This window comes from Homo sapiens, chromosome 9 (genome assembly GCF_000001405.40).
Source record: "Homo sapiens chromosome 9, GRCh38.p14 Primary Assembly".
NCBI classification, from domain to species: Eukaryota; Metazoa; Chordata; class Mammalia; order Primates; family Hominidae; genus Homo; species Homo sapiens.
The window spans coordinates 34,450,413-34,468,889 of NC_000009.12; the positions used below are offsets into that span (position 1 = coordinate 34,450,413).

The 18,477-nt window shown below is 47.4% G+C and overlaps 2 protein-coding genes across 8 annotated transcripts in view, besides 6 other annotated features; one reads left to right on the plus strand and one right to left on the minus strand.

Annotated features, from left to right (window-relative positions):
• The window catches only part of FAM219A (family with sequence similarity 219 member A), a 60,387-nt gene extending 52,229 nt beyond the window's left edge, over window positions 1-8,158 (minus strand). For 4 of the 6 annotated variants that reach the window (NM_001184943.2, NM_147202.2, NM_001184941.2 and 1 more), the window contains exon 1: window positions 7,792-8,158. In NM_001184943.2, the coding sequence (NP_001171872.1) occupies window positions 7,792-7,851 (60 nt within the window). In that variant the 5' untranslated portion in view covers window positions 7,852-8,158. The remainder of the gene's footprint in view (window positions 1-7,791) is intronic. The other 2 variants (NM_001184945.2, NM_001184942.2) reach the window with 1 other exon arrangement.
• Window positions 6,324-6,824: an enhancer, noted in NCBI's record as "H3K4me1 hESC enhancer chr9:34456734-34457234 (GRCh37/hg19 assembly coordinates)". NCBI's record gives its function as "activates a minimal SCP1, AML or CMV promoter by ChIP-STARR-seq in primed H9 embryonic stem cells {active_cell/tissue: H9 hESC(primed)}" and the evidence as "EXISTENCE:reporter gene assay evidence [ECO:0000049][PMID:30033119]".
• Window positions 7,830-8,079: a silencer, noted in NCBI's record as "silent region_19846". NCBI's record gives its function as "represses an Ori minimal core promoter by ATAC-STARR-seq in GM12878 lymphoblastoid cells {active_cell/tissue: GM12878}" and the evidence as "EXISTENCE:reporter gene assay evidence [ECO:0000049][PMID:35858748]".
• Window positions 7,830-8,519: a biological region, named in NCBI's record as "OCT4-H3K27ac hESC enhancer GRCh37_chr9:34458366-34458906".
• Window positions 7,956-8,496: an enhancer, noted in NCBI's record as "OCT4-H3K27ac hESC enhancer chr9:34458366-34458906 (GRCh37/hg19 assembly coordinates)". NCBI's record gives its function as "activates a minimal SCP1, AML or CMV promoter by ChIP-STARR-seq in primed H9 embryonic stem cells {active_cell/tissue: H9 hESC(primed)}" and the evidence as "EXISTENCE:reporter gene assay evidence [ECO:0000049][PMID:30033119]".
• Window positions 8,059-8,353: an enhancer, noted in NCBI's record as "tiled region #4178; HepG2 Activating non-DNase unmatched - State 4:PromP, and K562 Activating DNase matched - State 4:PromP". NCBI's record gives its function as "activates a minimal TATA promoter and a strong SV40 promoter by Sharpr-MPRA in HepG2 and K562 cells {active_cell/tissue: HepG2 | K562}" and the evidence as "EXISTENCE:reporter gene assay evidence [ECO:0000049][PMID:27701403]".
• The window catches only part of DNAI1 (dynein axonemal intermediate chain 1), a 62,180-nt gene continuing 52,095 nt past the window's right edge, over window positions 8,393-18,477 (plus strand). For both annotated transcript variants that reach the window (NM_001281428.2, NM_012144.4), the window contains exon 1: window positions 8,393-8,641. In NM_001281428.2, coding sequence (NP_001268357.1) covers window positions 8,594-8,641 — 48 coding nt within the window. In that variant the 5' untranslated portion in view covers window positions 8,393-8,593. The remainder of the gene's footprint in view (window positions 8,642-18,477) is intronic.
• Window positions 8,450-8,519: an enhancer, noted in NCBI's record as "active region_28310". NCBI's record gives its function as "activates an Ori minimal core promoter by ATAC-STARR-seq in GM12878 lymphoblastoid cells {active_cell/tissue: GM12878}" and the evidence as "EXISTENCE:reporter gene assay evidence [ECO:0000049][PMID:35858748]".

An 18,477-nucleotide genomic window follows, 5' to 3' on the forward strand; every position in this document is an offset into this window, starting at 1 on the left:
AATTCAATACATCTTTTTTTTTTTTGAGACGGAGTCTTGCTCTGTCACCCAGGATAGAGTGCAGTGGCACAATCTCAGCTCACTGCAACCTCCACCTCCTGGGTTCAAGCAATTTTCTGCCTCAGCCTCCCGAGTAGCTGGGATTACAGGTGGCCACCACCATGCCCGGCTAATTTTTGTATTTTTAGTAGGGACGGGATTTCAACATCTTGGCCAGGCTGTTCTTGAACTCCCGACCTGGTTATCCACCGCCTCGGCCTCCCAAAGTGCTGGGATTGCAGGCGTGAGCCACTGCGCCCGGCCAATTCAATAAACCTTAAAATGCTCCTTCAGGTATTGTTCTCGATAGATGGGATGTACTCTGCTTATAACAGCCAAGAATCTGATGGCTAAATCAGGCAAAACCAGGCAAGGAGCCACAGTCACTGGTCTTGTTTCTGCCTGGGTGTGGCCTCTTGTCATATGTTTAGACTTAGGGCTGGAACGGTCATTCAGAAAACACCATTCATAGCTGTATGTCCCCTCTTGCATGCACACTCACATACCTCACCGCCATCACAGAAACTTAAAATTGACCTTCAATAACCAAACCATCCGATCCTCAATTTGCTATCTCTGAATAACAATAATAACAACAAATACAAGTACAGATTTGCTTGAACTCTCTCCTGAGAATGTAAAGCCTAGGAGGAAACTCCTGCGGGCATGTGTCTACCCTCTCTCCCAGGCCAGATGCTACAGGCCTCTTTCCTAGATGACTTCCCTACTCCAGAGTCCCTCCCTGCAGCCAGAAGTTGATTTGGCTGTCCCACAGTGAGGCCTGTGGATCATGTGCCAATTTCTAAACTCCAGAGCAGACTCAAATCCAGAGCTGGTTCCCCTCCTTCCTTCCTTCCTTTCTCCTGCCCAGAAAGCCAGATTCCCATCAGAGCCTATTTAAGAAACAATGACTTGGGACCCTGCTGAGCCACACCTCTAGCTTCCTTCAACCAGCACCTCTGGTTATCTGCCTCAGCCCAATTCTCCCCTTTCCACACGCTCTGGAGCTCCCTGAACCAGTTCTCCCAGGTCTCTAGGAAGGCACGAAGCAGCTAAGCCCAAGAAGCTAAATTTCCCATGTTCCCTTTCCAGACACGAGGCTCCACCTGCCTTTTTAAGGAGGTGAGAGGGTCCCTGAGACTAATCAGGTTTGAGTGAAGAAGCCTGTTTTCCATTTCTGCTCACTCTGGGCTATATAGGCAGTCAAGGGCAGCAGGCAGCTGGGGCTGGGAATGACTCAGCCTGAACCCCAGCTACCACAGAAGCACCTACCCACAGAGGCCACACTGGGACCTCTGAGAAGCCAAGTGACCTCTGAGTGATCTCACCCCAGAATTCTGCTCCTTTGGTACACCTTGCCTGGAAGAAACGGTTGGGCTCTGCTTCCACCCAACTGCAGCTTTTCAGGCTGGTCTCAGAAAAGGAAAGTACGTGTCCTTTTCCATTTTGACATCTTGCAGTGATGTAGTAATACATATATACATTCCAGAAGGAATCAGTGAAAGAGCCCAGCTCAATCAGTCAGAAAAAAACCCATAGATTTGACTAGAACGATGGTAAAAGGCAAAGCCAGAAACTGCAACATAAAGCACTCAGACAACAAAGGATTTTATTTTTTATTCATCAAAGTGCTACTGGAAAGAAAATAACAACAACAAAACCCACTATGGCTCCTTGCTGCTACCACCAATTCTCTTGAATTCATCAAAGCAGGTTGCAGGGGAGAAGTATTCACTGGCAGATGAGCGTGTTTCTCAGCAGCCCTTTTGAGGCAGAGGGGGGACAAATGCCACTCTGACCTTTGGTTTTCTAGGACTTGTGGATTCCTCACAACCCCAAGAATGTAGCTTCAGCAGTAGAGCAAAGGAAAACAGCAGCCTTCTCTGTTATAAGAAGTCCCTGAGACCAAAAGGTACATGGGCTCCTGAGTTTCCCGAGGTGATGATGGTCTCTTCCTCCATCCAGGTGTCCATGCCACAAACTTGAGAGTCATCCTTAATTCTCTACCTCTCCATTCCGCCTCCCAACAGATATCATATCTTGCCTATTCCACCTTATTAGTATCTGTGTATCTGTCCCATCGTGTTTCTCTGCTTCTGCAGGCCTTCATTATCTCCTAGCAGAATTATTACACCCAGGTCTGTATTCGTTTTCCAACTTCCAATCTCATCTTCTCCAATCTCTCATCCACCACTAACCTAAACTCAGATTTGATCATGTTATTCCCTTAATTATAACTCTTCATTCATTCCAAATGCACTCCTTTGTTTCTTCTTCCATGCCCTTTCTTGGCTTAGCCTCATTTTGTCAGTTTGCCAAGCTTCTAGTACTCTTCCTATGGCCAGTTCCTAGGGCCTCTATGAAGCCTTCCCTGACCACTCGATGAGAGCCCTTCCTGCTTTCATTTGGTGCTCCTGGGCCTGGTTCTTCTCTTGCAGTGCTCACTATTCTATAGTGCCTCAATCTGAGTTCTAGACTGTGCATCTCCCTGGAGCAAAATTCTGTGCTATTGAGCCCAGAACAACATCTAGCAGAGAATAGGTTCTTACTTGGTGTTTGTTTGATGAGGAGATGAGTAGTAAGGAGCTGCAGGCTTGAACAAACCTGATCCTCAGTTTGTAATATAGGGCAGGAAAGAAGGGTGCCTCTGCCCAGGAGCCTGAGAAATACTGCTGGGTCATGAGCCACATGGATCCACTAGGAGAATCCACCCTTAAACTGAAAAGTCATCTGACCACAAGGAGGCAACTTAAGGTGCCCAGAACATAGAATATATATAGGTCAGTTTTCCACAGTGGCTACTTGCTATCTTTATAATGTTCTCTCCGCCACTTTCAGGAGCCGCTGTAGCCTACCCACTGAATTAATGTCCCGTCCTGACCATCCCCATCCATCCCTGAGTGTCAGGAAGCAGTAGGAGTCTGAAACTCCTTCCCAAGCTCATGTAGTCAGAGTCAGAATCTCAGCATTCCTCACCCTCTCCCAAAGCAGGGTGTCACTCTTTCTCATGACACTTCATTGATCTCTACTCTTTTTGACATATATCTAAAAACCTTCCTATAGCCATCTGAGCCCATCCTTCTCTTGGCCACCCACTGGAGAGATCTTACTTGTCCCTGTATCCTTAAAGTACCTGATCTGAGTAGATGCTCGTGAACTAAACAAATGAGTTAACTGATAACCTGGTTTCAGTGACGCTACAGTAACATTTCTTTCAGCTGTGCAGAGACCCTATCTGGTGCCATTTGCCATTCTTTAAGTCTCTTTGGTCCCTGAGAGCACAGGAGGCAGGGTGTTGCCTGACACAATTAAGTGCTTAAAAGCTCCATTTGTTCTTAAAACAAATCTCTTCCTCTCCAATTGCAGCCGAAGAGAAGACATAGACTGTGCGGCTGCACCAACAAGCTGAGCAGACAGACAATAGGGCCAGAGAGCCTATCCCTGTTTCTCATACAAACAATATACCGAACTCAACCCAACTGATCAACAGAGAGCCTTGGGCTGCTGGGAACTTCTCTAGATCAGTGAGGTGTATGGCTCAGACACAGAGCTGACACACAAAATGTGCCTATCCCTGGCAGTTTCTTTGGGAGAATCTGTGCTCAGAAACACTCAGGATTGTCTGAAAGATAGATACAGCAGGAATGGAGTCCAGTGGATAGGTCTCTAAGAGGAGCTCTCACTCCTTTCATAAGAAGACAGGAGGCCAAGTGCGGTGGCTCACGCCTGTAATCCCAGCACTTTGGGAGGCCAAAGCGGGCAGATCATGAGGTCGAGAGATTGATACCATCCTGGCCAACATGGTGAAAGCCTGTCTCTACTAAAAATACAAAAATTAGCTGGGCGTGGTGGCATGCGCCTGTAGTCCCAGCTATTCAGGAGGCTGAGACAGGAGAATCACTTGAACCCTGGAGGCAGAGGTTGCAGTGAGCCAAGATCACACCACCGCACTCCAGCCTGGGCAACAGAGCGAGACTCCGTCTCAAAAGAGAGAGAAAAAATAAAGGAGACAGGAAGAGACCCTGGGGAGCTCTCAGGGATAGACCAGGCCTGGTTCAGCTGCTGAGTTGCAACAAGGCCAATTAAATAATTGGTGTGATGGGGAAAGGAGGGAAGCCACTCCTTTCAGGCAAACTCCCACCAGAGACAGGAGGCTCCATGCAGCTGTGACAACAGCAGCAGCAATAACAGGGCAGGGATCTCCTCCTCTTCCTCCCACTAGCTGAGATCTAATGCTTAAATTAGCACCTTGGAAACACCCAGATCTGCTGGCTGCCTTCTCTCCCAGTTCTGCCACGCCCCCAGGCCTTCTTTTCAAGCCTGAGTTTCTCTTTCAATTAAATAATTAAAAAAATAAAGATGTGCTCCCCCTAGAGTTTATCTTTCCAAGTAGGCAATGGCCTCTGGATTCTTCCCATCACTATGGGATGGGGAGAGTTATTTGATGATGGCGCCCATGTGACAAGCCTCTATCCATACAGCTTGGTCCAGAAAGGGGCAATGATGATGACACCAGCGTTGCCTGGCTCCCTTGAGGCTTAATGAGTCAGCCCCTACTCTGCCCTCAGTGGAGGATCACACTAAGAGAGTGAGCAAGAGAAACAAACTTTGACACACTGTGGGCTCAAGGGCAGGGTCACATCTGTGTCTGTGTTGCTAACCACTCTATCCCTAATACTCAGTTTAATATTTGGGACAGAGCAGATGCTCAATAATTATTTGGTAAACCAATTGCTGAATCAATGATATCAGGTCTCTGTGGTATTCTTTAGAAGGGAGAGTGAGGAGCTATTGTTTAAACTTTAAAGAGATAGTTTGTCTTCATCTCATAAATGGAAAAACAATCGAGGAAGGAGGAGAGACTTCCTAGAGGTCTCAATAAATGGCAAAAAAATGAAATAGGTCATAGCTAAGTCTGAGCCTGGGACCCTGGTTTTTATGGCCTATCCAAATACCCTTAAAGAGCCACTTTGCCCTCTTTTTTGCCCTTTACCTCTATGATATGCTATCTTGATTTTTTTTTTTTTTTTTTGGAGACAGAGTCTTGCTCTGTTGCCCAGGCTGGAATGTAGTGGTAGGCACACGGCTCACTGCAGCCTCAACCTCCTGGGCTCAAGCAATCCTCCTGCCTCGGCCTCCTGAGTAGCTGGTACTACAGGCATGCAGCACCATGCTGAGCTAATTTTAAATATTTTTGTAGAGATGGAGTCTCACTGTGTTTCCCAGGCTGGACTATCTTAATTCTTTATGCCCCAAAATGAAGACTCCTGAAGAAACATCACACAAGATTCTGCTGGTCTCAACAATACACAGGGTATTTAAAGGGTTTTGAGGTGCCTCTGGAATACAACCTGGGGACAGAGGTCAGGAAGCGGGGCAATGTCTATGACCCTCAAATGAGGGATGACTATATTGCTATTTCCATAAGGCTCTCACTCAAACTCAATAAAGTATTCTCAGGCCGGGCATAGCAGCTCACTCTTGTAATCCTAGCATTTTGGGAGGCCGAGGCAGGCAGACCACTTGAGGTCAGGCATTCAAGACCAGCCTGGCCAACATGGCGAAACCCTGTCTCTACTAAAAATACAAAAATTAGCCATGCGTGGTGGCAGGGGCCTATAATCCCAGCTACTTGGGAGGCTGAGGTAGGAGAATCGCTTGAATCCAGGAGGTGGAGGTTGCATTGGGCCAAGATCGTGCCACTGCACTCTAGCCTGGGTGACAGAGAGGGACCCTGTCTCAAAAAAAAAGAAAAAAAAGTATTCTCTTGCACAAGGGTGACTTTAGCAGTTAAAGGGGTCTGAAGGCAGTCAGAGCTTTTCTAAGTGCCTCCTTGCCACAGATGCTTCTCCAACTCCAGGGCCACACAGACCGGAAGCAGCTCAAGAGTTCTCTACCCAGCCAAACCACTATTCAGAATTTCAGGCAATAACAGAAGCACCAAGGACAACTGAGAGCCTGGTGGCTCTATTTCTTCTCCCCTTTCCTTGAACAGCTATTTCCTTCCTTTTTGAGAACCCCAGATGGGTGACAAGAAACAACTCATTGCTTCCTTTTCCTGACACACTTGAACCTCCTCTTCCTTCATCCACCCTCTATTTTGATTCTTGATTAGATGCTTAGAACTGGAAGGGCAATCTCGTTTGACAAGCCAGGTTAGCTAGAAAGAGAACTCAGAAAGGAAAATTATCTTCAGCCAGCCCAAAGTCCTTCTTTAAGTTCATGGGATGGACTTCTCTCCAGGATTTTCTGGCTCCCAAATAATCCAATGATGGCATGAGGCTAGGAAAAAGTCCTGCAACACCTCTCTCCGGTTTAATATTGTATGCTTCTGTAAAACTTCTTTGTTTTGGCTCTTAGAACTGTCTAAGCAGTCATGAAAGGGGGAAAAAGCCTTTGTCTCCTGCTAAGTGGCCACTAATGATTCTCTCTACCATCCCTCAAAAGGTGTGACAAAAAGGTGGTGATGGGTCCCTGCCGAGGCCCATCTTGGCTGCTGTAATGGGTAGGTTACTCGCCCAGGAAGCTACAAAGCACATCTGTCAGCCAGGGGGTTATAGGCCCAAGGGTAGACCTGTTTCTGGCCACCCTGCCTAACACAGAAGCAGAACTTCAGAACTTGGAGAACTCAGCTCTGCTCCAGCCAGCACAGCTCAGAGAAATGGGGCATCCACACTTTCGGATTTGTAGCCCACCTTGCCTCCTTCCAATTCCAGCTCAGGCTCCAGGGGGATAAAGCGAACACAGCCTAGACATTCCCTCTCTTCCCCCCTCACTATACGAGCTGGCTAGGCCTCCACGTCTCCCACCCGGTTGCCTGACAGACAAGCGAGGTCAGGGAGCCCCCTGGGCGGTGGCCAGCAAGCATGGTCTCCCTTAGGCCTAGCCTCGGTGCACCCGAGTTGCCCTCCCCCTTCCATTCCCTCCGCGCCAGCAGCGATGACATCATTCCTCCCTGACTCCGGGACCGCGGACAGGCGGCAGGATCCGCGCCCAGCAAGGACTTCAGGCACGTAGGCCTAAGATGATGGGGGCTCTTCCCAACCAGTGCGCACAGGCAGCTCCAGCGCGACCCCACTTCCTCTCCCGTCGGTTCCCGAGCACTCTCATCTGCACCCCGATTCCCCATCTGGTCGCCGCGCACTCTCCTTCCCGGTTTAGATGCCCCCAGCCTGGTCTGCCTGCGCTCCCCACCGGAGAACGGAATTCCCAGGTTCTGCACCAACCACCTTCCCCCACTGGGTCCCTCGCCCCGGCCCAGCGTTCCTGTCCGTATATCCAGCGGACAGGCGGGCAAGCCCCTCCTCTTCTAAAAGCTGATTCCCAATCTCTCTTAGCCTGACGGCTCCCCCGCCCTAAGCATCACAGGCCTCTAGGACTAAACGCCTCCCCACCTCCCATCCCAGACCCCTGGGCCTGCCGCCGGCGGTGCCCCATGGCAGTTCCCTCGCCAGTCCCTGCTATGGGCCTCCACTAGCGGTGTGCACCTTTGTGCCCCCTCCGTTCCATCCGACGGTGCCCTGCTTCCACCGACGGTGCCCTCCGCCCTTACAGGTCCCTTTGCTCTCATCCAGCATATTCTCCCACGGTTTTCTTGTCCTGCAAGTCCCCGTCCCCCGGCAATACGTTTTCAGGGATCTCTTTGCCCCATCCGATGGCGCCCCTCCGCACGATCCCCCCGGCCTGATTCCCTCCCTCCCCCTCAAGCGACGCCCCCTCCGGCCTTGGCCTGCCCGCCGCCCGCCCCCTCACCAGCGGCTGCATCTCCGAGTGCGCGGTGGGCACCTGGAACCGGTCGATCTCCTCCATCATGGTGCCGGCGGGCGAGCGGGCCAGGGGCCGGGCGCGGCCGCGGACGCCGACAGGACCGCGCGGGGCGGCGGCCCCAGGAGCCCGGCGGGTGGTGCAGACTAGGCCTCCCCGGACCACTCGGGCGGGCAGGGGCCGGGCGGATGCAGGGGTGGGCGGGGGCGAGAGGTTCGCAGACTGGCTGAGGCCGGCGTGACTCCGTGGGCTTGCCTAGCACTACCGCGGCTGTGGCCGGGCCGAGCCGCAGGTCTTGCCTCGCCTCCTACTCCGCTGCCGCCTCCTGTCAGCAGCTCAGCCACTGCGGTGACTCGGCAACTCCACTTCCGGGTCCGGGACACCGCCCGGATCTTGCATTATTCATGAGGAGGCGGTGCCTGGGGACCCCAGCCCCACCCACATGCGGGAGTTCCGAATGCGCGCGGCCGCCCAGCTGTGATTCCTGAGGGGGCGGGGCTTAGTGGAGACTCGCTCGCCGCGCGCCCAACCCCGCCTCCTTTCCGGGCCGGCTGGGCGCGCCGAAGCGCCTGCGCCTTGGCTGCTGGTCGGTTGCTGGGTAACCGCGTCAGGGAGTTGGATTCTATCCTGCAAGGGCACGGGGACCCACAACGACGGCTGTCCCTAAAGAACCGTTGCGACTGGTAACTGAAGTGGAAGAGAGTCCAGATTTCTTGTGTGTGGTCAAGGAGACGGACAAACTTTTTGTCTTCAGACGAGGGAGCGTTTTGTAGGCTCTCCAGGGGTTGAGATGATTCCTGCTTCTGCGAAGGCTCCCCATAAACAGCCTCATAAGCAGGTAACGTACGCACACCTTCCTTCTGATGACCTCTGACCTTCGTCGTCGCCAGTGACCACTAATCATACCTCTCCTACTGATCCTTGATCTTTTCTCTGTTGACCCCAGCCTTCTCACCCCCGTGACCTCTGGTAAGTGCTCCCACTGACCTCTGACTCTGTCCTACTCTTTCCCACTAATCCCGGCCTCCTCTCCCATACTACCCCAATCCACCGTTTCTTACCTCTCTCCTTTTATCCACCATTCCCATCTCTTCACTTCACTTTACCCCATGGACTCATTCTGACCAGTCTATTCTCCTTAACTTCCCCATCCCCATTCCCACGAGTCCCTTCCTCCTTGTTCTCACATTCTTGTCCCAAAGGAATTTTTCTTTTTCTTTTTCTTTCTTTCTTTCTTTTTTTTTTTTTGAGACAGAGGCTCGCCCTGTAGCCCAGGCTAGAATGCAGTGGCGCCATCTCAGCTCTCTGTAACCTCTGCCTCCTGGGTGCAAGCGATTCTCCCACTTCAGCCTGACGAATAGCTGGAACCAAAGGCATAGGCCACCACGCCCGGCTAAATTTTGTGTTTTTGGTAGAGACGGGGTTTCCCCATGTTGCCCAGGCCCGTCTCTAACTCCTGAGCTCAAGCGATCCTCCTACCTTGACCTTCCGAAGTGCTGGGATTACAGGCGTGAGCCACGGCGCCCAGCCTCAAAGGCATTCTTTATCCAACCCTTTGCTGTGTGCCTAGCTCCAGGCTAGGTGGGAACACAGCTCTTGCTGTTTGGGAGCCCACAGAGGGTGTGCAAGAGAACTAAACAGAATACAGGACAGGCTATGTGCAGGAGTGTGATTTTATTTTCTGTGCTGGGAGATTTATGAGGAGAGAAAGGGCAGGCAAAGAGGAAGAGGAGAGAGGCCCTTTTCTCATCCCTGTCCTCACCCCCACAGTGCACAACCCAAACACTCTGCCCCAACTATTTCTAGAGCCTCATATCTCTCTCTTCCCTGCGAGCCCCTGGTCCACTCCTATGATTCATTCAGCTATGTGAACATTATGCTCTTATTACCACCTGGACAGATGTCATCCCTTCTCACAGGAAACCCGAGTCATCCCCCACTTAACCCACTGAGCACAGAGTTCTGCTTTCTTCCTCAGCATCACCACGGAAGGCAAGGCAGTCCCAGTTTCCCAAGGAGTCTTCTGTGGTGAAGCAACTCAGTCCTTCAGGAACTTTTTCCAAACCCTTTATGAATTACCACTCAGGCTAATGTGTAGTTTCTAGCTCTGGAAAGCAGGACTTCTATATATTTATTCCAGATTTACCCCACTCAAGTCTAGGTACATTGAGGTTTAGAGAGCCAATCTCCATGCTACTTATGACTTTGCATATTTTGGTCTGGCCACCTCCATGTTAGCCTTTGCTCCTCTGCCTCTTTTACCTGGGCTTCTGTAGCAGATGGACCTGACTTTCTTAGGTCTCTGCAGCCTTGGGGAAGCTGCTAGTCCCATATGAACATGCCCTAATTTTATGTTGGGGTTGGGCTTTACGTTGAAGTTCATGTACTGTGTTTGAGCCTCCTGACCCTATATTTACAGGCAGTTTGCTTTTATTTATTTTTTATTTTTGTATTTTTTATTTTTGAGACGGAGTTTCACTCTTGTCACCCAGGGTGGAGTGCAGTGGCGCAATCTAGGTTCACTGCAACCTCCACCTCCCCGATTCAAGGGACCTGCCTCAGCCTCCCAAGTAGCTGGGATTACAGGCATGCACCACCATGCCTGGCTAATTTTTTTTTATTATTTTATTTTATTTTATTTTTGAGACGGAGTCTTGCTCTGTCGCCCAGGCTGGAGTGCAGTGGTGTGATCTTGGCTCACTGCAAGCTCCGCCTCCTGGGTTCACGTCATTCTCCTGCCTCAGCCTCCCAAGGAGCTGGGACTATAGGCGCCTGCCACCACGCCCAGCTAATTTTTTTGTATTTTTGGTAGAGACAGGGTTTCACTGTGTTAGCCACGATGGTCTTGGATCTCCTGACCTCGTGATCTGCCCGCCTCGGCCTCCCAAAGTGCTGGGATTACAGGTGTGGGCCACCGCACCCAGCCAATTTTTGTATTTTTAGTAGAGACGGGGTTTCACCATATTGGTCAGGCTGGTCTCGGACTCCTGACCTCAGGTGATCCACAGGCCTAGGCCTCCCAAAGTGCTGGGATTACAGGGGTGAGCCCCCGTGCCCCAGCAGTTTGCTTTTAAAATAAACATTATTGAGGTTTGGTTTACATATAATAGAATGTACCATTTTAGTTGTACGTGTTGACAAATTTTAACAAATTTACACACGTATAAACCACTACCACACTCAAGATATAGGATACTTTCTCTATCCCAAGAAGTTCCCTGTGCCTCATCCCACCTCCTATGCCCCACCCCTGGCCTGCCTAGGTAACCACAGATCTGCTTTCTGTCATTACAGATTCAATTTGTCTTTTCTAGCAACTTGCAGTTTGAACAAGCTTGGGGATGGGTTTCTCTAGCCCATTAGGGAGACATTAGAGACTAGTTACACTGAGAGCAGGGAGAGGTGACAGCAGACAGAAAGCAGAAAAAACTGGGTCAACTGGCCCCGTACACATCAGCACTGCCCCATGGAGGGAAGGGTTGTTTTAGTTCAGAGTAAATATTGGCGTGTGGGGTGTGAGAAAAGGTTAGGTTGTGCTAGGTTGTATTTACCATTTTCTTGCCTCAGTGAAGACCAATTTGAGTCAGTGCTAATCAGGTGTGGGATGTCCTAGAGATGTTTGAGAAGTTGTCCCTGTCCTCTGGGAATTCAGTTCAATGGGGGAGACAGAACACAGGCAGAAAAAGATAAAGGAGGATGGGATCCCTGGGGATGAAGGGGAGAGAAGCCTGCAGGTTAGAGCAGCAGAAAGGCTTCAGGGAGGAGGTAGGTAGGACTGGGTTGCCAGGGGTGAGGGAAGATCAGGGTTGGGTTTGTTAGAGGATAGAGAGGAGTTTAAATTCCATTTGTTCATATCACTCCACTAGTCGCCTTTTAATGGTTCCTTGTTGCTTTCAGGATAAAGTCCCAAAAGTCCAATTTGCTTGGTATGGCCTTTGCCACCCTGCATGGTCTTGCCTTTGCTACCCATCCTACTTCAAACCTCACCATTTCTCTATGAAAATTCCACAATCCCAGCAAACTGAACTGCCCTCACTTCCTGGAAAGTGATATTCACACTGTTTATCTCCTCTAAGCTTTTGAAATCTTTTCTGTCTGTGTCTACTAGTCTACTCCACCCTACCCCAAATCTTTCCTTCATATCCTATTCATATTTCGGGTCTAAGCTTGGCCCTCATATTCTTCTACAAAGGATTAAGTCCCCTTTCTGGAGGCAGGATAGGGTGATATCCCCTCTAGACTATAAACTATGTTATGGTAAGGATCATGTCTGTCTTGTTCATTGTTGATTCCCCTCTACCTAGCACAATACCTGGAATATATTAAATTCTAAGAAAATGAGTTCAATATGAATTCTGAATGCCCTAAGTTGTTCTTGGAAATTATCATCTGAATGTGTTCGAAGGATGGGAAGGGGTGAAGCTGGGATGGGGAGACTTGTGGGGAATTATAACAAGGAAATGTAACTGTGTAAGTATGGTTTTCCAGGTACATGTTTGTATCTGCTTTGGCAGTAGGGCTATGAATGATTCAAATTTGAACCACAAGTATCCATGCCTTAAGAAATGGGTTTTGGAGACTAAGAGATAAAAATATTGATGTGTAAATATTCATGCAGTAATTATTTATCGTACCCACTCTGTGTTAGGTACTGTTCTAGGTATTGGTGATATAGCAAGAAACAAAACAAACAAAAATCCCTGCTCTCATGGAGCTTATTTTTTAGTTGGAGGTAAAGTGGCAATAAATAAATTTGTAAAATATATAGTATATTAGATGGTGATAGATGCCAAGAAGAAAACTAAATCAGAGAAGTAGACTAAGAAGTTCAGGGAATCACAAGATTATCATTTAAATAGGATGGACAGGGAAGGTGTTACAGAGGTGGCATATGAGCAAAGACCTGAAGGAAATGAAAGAGCTATGCAATACCCGGGGGTAGGGTGTGGGGTGAAGGGATGGGGATAGGGGAGGCATTCCAGACAGACGGCATAGCAAGTATAAAGTCCCTGAGATGGGAGCCTGCTACACATGTTCTGGATCAGCAAGGAAGGGAGTGGGGAATGTGGCAGGAGATAAGGTCAAAGAGGTACCTTCCCCTACCCTATAGAGTTAATCAAATAACCCATGGCATATTAAATTGGTCATTATGGAGCTCCATAAATCATAATTTGTAATTAAAATGCTTGAATGTCAGGAACCATAAACCATGACCAGCTCAAAACATCACTGGTAATGCCCCAATAGCAAAGCGTCCTTCCTGAAAATTGTGAGAGTGCCAACTGGCTGCATGTATACATGTACAGGAGGAGCTTTGCAGCGTTGCCAAACATTGCCTGGCAGCTAAACTTCTTAGTAGAAAACCGAATTAGAATCTTCTGTGAACTCCAGTTAAAAGCTAATTTTAGTTTATGACTAACAAATTTTAGTACCTCTTTATAACTCAGTTGGTTACCATAAAAAAAAAATCAAAGTCTGGAATTTTACATCATTCTCCTGTAAAAGCCAAAGAAAAGACTTTCATTTTGGATCATTTTGTGGTCTCTCAAGAGGCTCCTATGGTGCAATACTTTTAGAAATATTGATCTAGATTAGGGGTGACTAAGGTAGGAGTGAGTGGGCAGGGTTGGGCATAAGGCCAGAAGAGAGTCTTGGATGATTCAGAGATTTTGAGCCTGGTGATGGGGCCTGGTATCCACAGATGAAAAGATAGGAGGTGAACAGAATGTAGGGGAAGTTGATGTGTTTCTGTATGTCCAAAGTAAGATAGCTTCACTCCTGTGACCTCAGTGTCATTCTTACACATATATTCCTTAAGCCCTAGATATGATCTTTTACTCCCTTACCTCTTAAATATCTCTCAAATTAAACTACTTTTTTTCATATACACTGCCACCTCCCTAGCCCAGCTTACAATCGTCTCTCACCAAAGAGTGCTGTAAAAGCCTAGTAACTAGTCTTCCCTCATTCACTCGTGCCCTTTCCAGTCCATTCTCTACACTGCATGAAAAGTGATCTTTTCAAACTGTCAATCTGATTGTGCCATCCCCCACTCAGAACACTTCAGTGACTTCCCATTGCTCTTAGGATAGGGACCAGATTTTTAGACAATCGCTCCAGAGACCTGAATGGGCCTGAGACCTACCTGGGTCTCTATACCTTAATTTGTACCACTCTTCTCCATTATTGCTGTACCTTAGTTCTATGTGCTGCCCCCTTTCTGGAATGCTTTTCACACCCTCCCTCACACATGTACTCACTCCTAAGATTTCAGCCCCCAAATCAATCCCCACAACCTGCCCCCAATGCCCCCTGCCCCGTTATGGAAGGTAGGGTAAGTTTCCTCTGTTATATAGTCTCATTGCTCTGTGTTCCTTTCTTCCATAGCATGCATCACGGTTTGTAATTATTCACTTATTTGTGTAATTATTTGATTATTGTATGTCTCCCCCATTAGACTGTGAGCTCCTTGGGAGCAGGGCCTGTGGATGTTTTTGCTTATATCTGTATTCTCAGCCCCTAAAACAGTGGCCATGATGACGTCAGAAGCTCTTGATGAATGTTGAATGAGTGATCAACTGTGGTTGGGGAAGTAGCACAGGGTTCTATGGAAGCATGTGGTAGGGGGTCTTCATTCTGATTCTGGGGGAATTAGGGAAGACTTCTGGGGGGACCACCAGTATTTAAGGTTTGGATAGAAGAAGAAGAGTCCAAAATGGAGAATAAGAAGGAGTAATCAGAGAAGTAAGAAGACAACAAGGAAAAATAATATCCCAGAAGCCAAAGGAAGAATGTGTTTCAGTGAAACTGTATGGTCAGCCAAGTTGCATGTTGCTAAGGTGTCAATGAAGATAAACACTAAGATATAACTATTAGATTTAATAACTTGGAAGTTATTGGGGACCTTGGAAAGGACAATTTCAGAGTGAAAAGCTAAACTGAATTGAGCTAAGAAGGCAGTAAGAACTATGTAGGCAAAGATTGTTTTTTTAAGATGACAGACTTGAATATATTAAATGCTGAGGGGAAGGATCCTGAACGGAGAGAGAAGTTGAAGATAAAGGAGAAAGATTAAATAATGACTAGAGCCAAGTCTCTGAGGAGATGATGTTGTGGACAGGAGGAGGCACACTTTGTAACAGGACAGGAGAAGGGATGGATGCAGTTGATGATAATTTTGAGGTTTAGCAGCAGAAAGCTGAGACAGTTTTTTCTTCTTTTCCCCTAGTTGTGTTAATGGAATTCCTTCTGGAAGTGATAACTAGAAAACAATTTTTGCCAATGGCAGTTCCATTTTGTTATGATTATAGTCATGCTATTTTCAGAGTTATGGTCTGAGGTTTGTCATGCACAATTATCAGATTACAAAACAGCTGTGAGCATTTGAGGCCAGAATTTGTTTTCCTCCCCTGTGTACTAGGGGGCCTAGCACATTGTTAGCACTCAGTACATGCCAGGTACTCAAATAATAATGGCAGAGGGCTCCTGTGCTCGTTGCTGGGCTTTGCAGCCTGCAAGTTGATGCTGAGGAGTAATGTTGACTCTCTGGCTCCAGCTGTGAGCAAGCCACATGAAATTGTTTTCTGCCAGTTAGGAATTTGTATCAAGTGTTCAATCTTTGCAGTCACTGAGCACTGACAGAGTTGTATGCAAGAAGCAAGCAAAGGACACAGCTGTTGTAACTTTAGTTTCACTGGTTTGAGTCTCACAACGCTTTGTCCTACTCATAGAGTCACTGGATTCTGGTTTGTATGGTGGATTTATGTCCTCCATTTATCTCACCTCCTAGATTGAGAACCCTGGGTGTGAGAACCAACTCAATCTTGGTTCCTCTTTAGCCGTCATCCGAGGACCTGGCACATAGTAGATGCTTAATAAATGCTGAATGAATGAATAATGACTGAATGAGTTAGTTGATGAGTGAATAAATGAGTGATGGGAAGGTATGTACTGCACTACTCTGAACACTAACTTTTCTTTCTTGGCCTGCAGAAGAAGCAATTCATGCCTCCTTTATCCTAGTTAAAGCAGCCTAATCCTATTAATTATGTAGGGACCCTACCCCTAATGTTAAGCTTATTTTTCTACTTTTATTCTTACATCACATCCATTTGCTCATTTACTTATTTTCTCAATGTGTCATGTATTCAGCCTCAAATCTTATTTGGGAACAAACTGGAGTGTATATGGACAAAATAATCTGCTGCTCCTTGGAGAGTCATCTGCTTCTGTGCCTCTGTGTCTTTGTTAATTATTTTGTTCCCTCTGCATGGAATGCCCAAGTCTTCTCTTCTCTTTCTGCCCTTTACAGACCTGGCAAACTCTAAGACACATTACTTTAGTTAAGCTCTTTAAGTTACAAAGAACAGAGGCTCACTCAAGTTACCTCAGATAAAAGAGGATGAGAGAAGGGAGAAGGTATATATGTGGGGAGTTACAGATGGTTATTATAAGTACATAGATAACCTAGAATTGAAATTGGAAAACAATTAATTCTGAAACAGGTATAGGGACCAACTACTTTCTCCACATCTCTCACAGCCTCTCTATTTCTCTTAACAACTATGTTTCATTCTTATTCTTATTTCCCAACTGGCCAGATTTCCATGGTCTCCGCTCCCTCATAATTTTAGTCTGTTTCCAGCTTATCATAACTGTTCTGACCTCTCTACCTCACAAACATTTCCATGAATATCTCCATCCAACTGCTGGTTCTCCCTGTAGTCCTAGTTCAAATTCTTAAGGAGGGAATCTGATTGACCCTAGCTCATCTGTTCATGCTAGGCAATGTCAGCAAGGGACAAGATCCTATGGCTCTTTAAGCAACCAAAGCTAGAAGGAGGTATTCTCTTTGCTCAGCTCCTCCAGTGGAAGATATAACTCGCTTTACTCTAAAGTAACTTCCATATTGTTTCTGGTAAATCTCTTTCTCATGAATTGTGCGGGAAGGGGCCTCAGGGGCCTCAGATTTCTTCTAGTCCAATGCTTTCATTCAGGGCTGATATTTACATTACAAAAGGTCCTGTCCTTTACAAAAGCCTTTACTATAGGGTTTTAAAAATAGCACATTTCTGCAATGAATTTTAAAATACAGCACACAGGCCAGGCATGATGGCTCATGGCTGTAATCCTAGCACTTTGGGAGGCTGAGGCAGGAGGATCACTTGAGCCTAGGAGTTTGAGACCAGCCTGGACAACACAGCAAGACCCCATCTCTACACAAATACACACACACACACACACACACACACACACACACACACACACCACAAATTAGCCAGGTTGCATGCACCTGTAGTCCCAGCTACTCAGGAGGCTGAGGCGGGAGGATCCCTTGAGCCCAAGAGTTCAAGACTCCAGTGAGCTATGATTGTTACCACTGCACTCCAGCATGGGCAACAGAGTGAGAACCTGTCTCTAAAATAAATAAATAAATAAAATGCAGTATATATATAACCTTAAAGACCTTGATTTAGGGGATTTATATTCTGGCCATGGTGCAGAAATCTACACTGGACTTTCCCTCACACTGTAAACAGCAGTAAGCCTGGACACAATATATGACACTAATGTTTTTCGGTATTGGACAATAGACAACATAGGACAGTGATTCCTGAGGGAAGGAAAACACTCAACGTGAGTCACACATTTACCCTTGCTCTCTGCCTAAGGACAATTTCTTGATCATGGCTCAGAGAGGTAGATCCAAAGGAGAGCATGATAGTACCAGGGAGTAACACAGATGTTGGAATTAGCAGGCAATGTCTTTAAAGCAGCTGTTATAAATATATTTATGGACATAAAGGAAATATTGTTTTAATGGATGCACGGATGGAGAATCTAAGCAGAAAAATGGAAACAGTAGAAAAATACAATATCAGAAATAAAAAATTCGTTGGATAGGCCTAACAGCTGAATGTGAAGATGGATCCATGGAAATTATTTAATCTGAAGAACAGAGAGGAAGAAGGCTTTTTTTTTTTTGAGATGGCGTCTCGCTCTGTCTGCCAGGCTGGAATGCAGTGGCGCGATCTCGGCTCACTGCAAGCTCCTCCTTCCAGGTTCACGCCATTCTCCTGCCTCAGCCTCCCGAGTAGCTGGGACTAAGGCGCCCGCCACCACGCCTGGCTAATTTTTTTTTTTTTTTGTATTTTTAGTAGAGACGGGGTTTCACCATGTTAGCCAGGATGGTCTCGATCTCCTAACCTCCTGATCCACCAGTCTTGGCCTCCCAAAGTGCTGGGATTACAGGCGTGAGCCACCACGCCCGGCCAAGAAGGTTTTGTTTTGTTTTGTTTTGTTTTGTTTTTCTTGTAAAAAGAGAGCCTGGCTGGGCATGGTGGCTCATACCTATAATCCCAGCACTTTGGGAGGATGAGACGGGAGGATCACTTGAGCCCAGAAGTTTGAGACCAACCTGGGCAACATAAAAAAAACCTCGTCTCTACAAAAAATTTAAAAATTAGCCAGGCGTGGTGGTATGCCCCTGTGGTCCCTCTATGTGGGAGGCTGAAGTGGAAGGATAGCTTGAACCCAGGAGATCAAGGCTGCAGTGAGCTGCGGCTGTGCCACTGCAAAGCAGTCTGGGTGACAGAGTGAGACCCTGTCTCAAAAAAAAAAAGAGAAAAGAAAAAGAAAAAACAGGTGCCCTGTTACTGAGGCTCCACTAAAAAA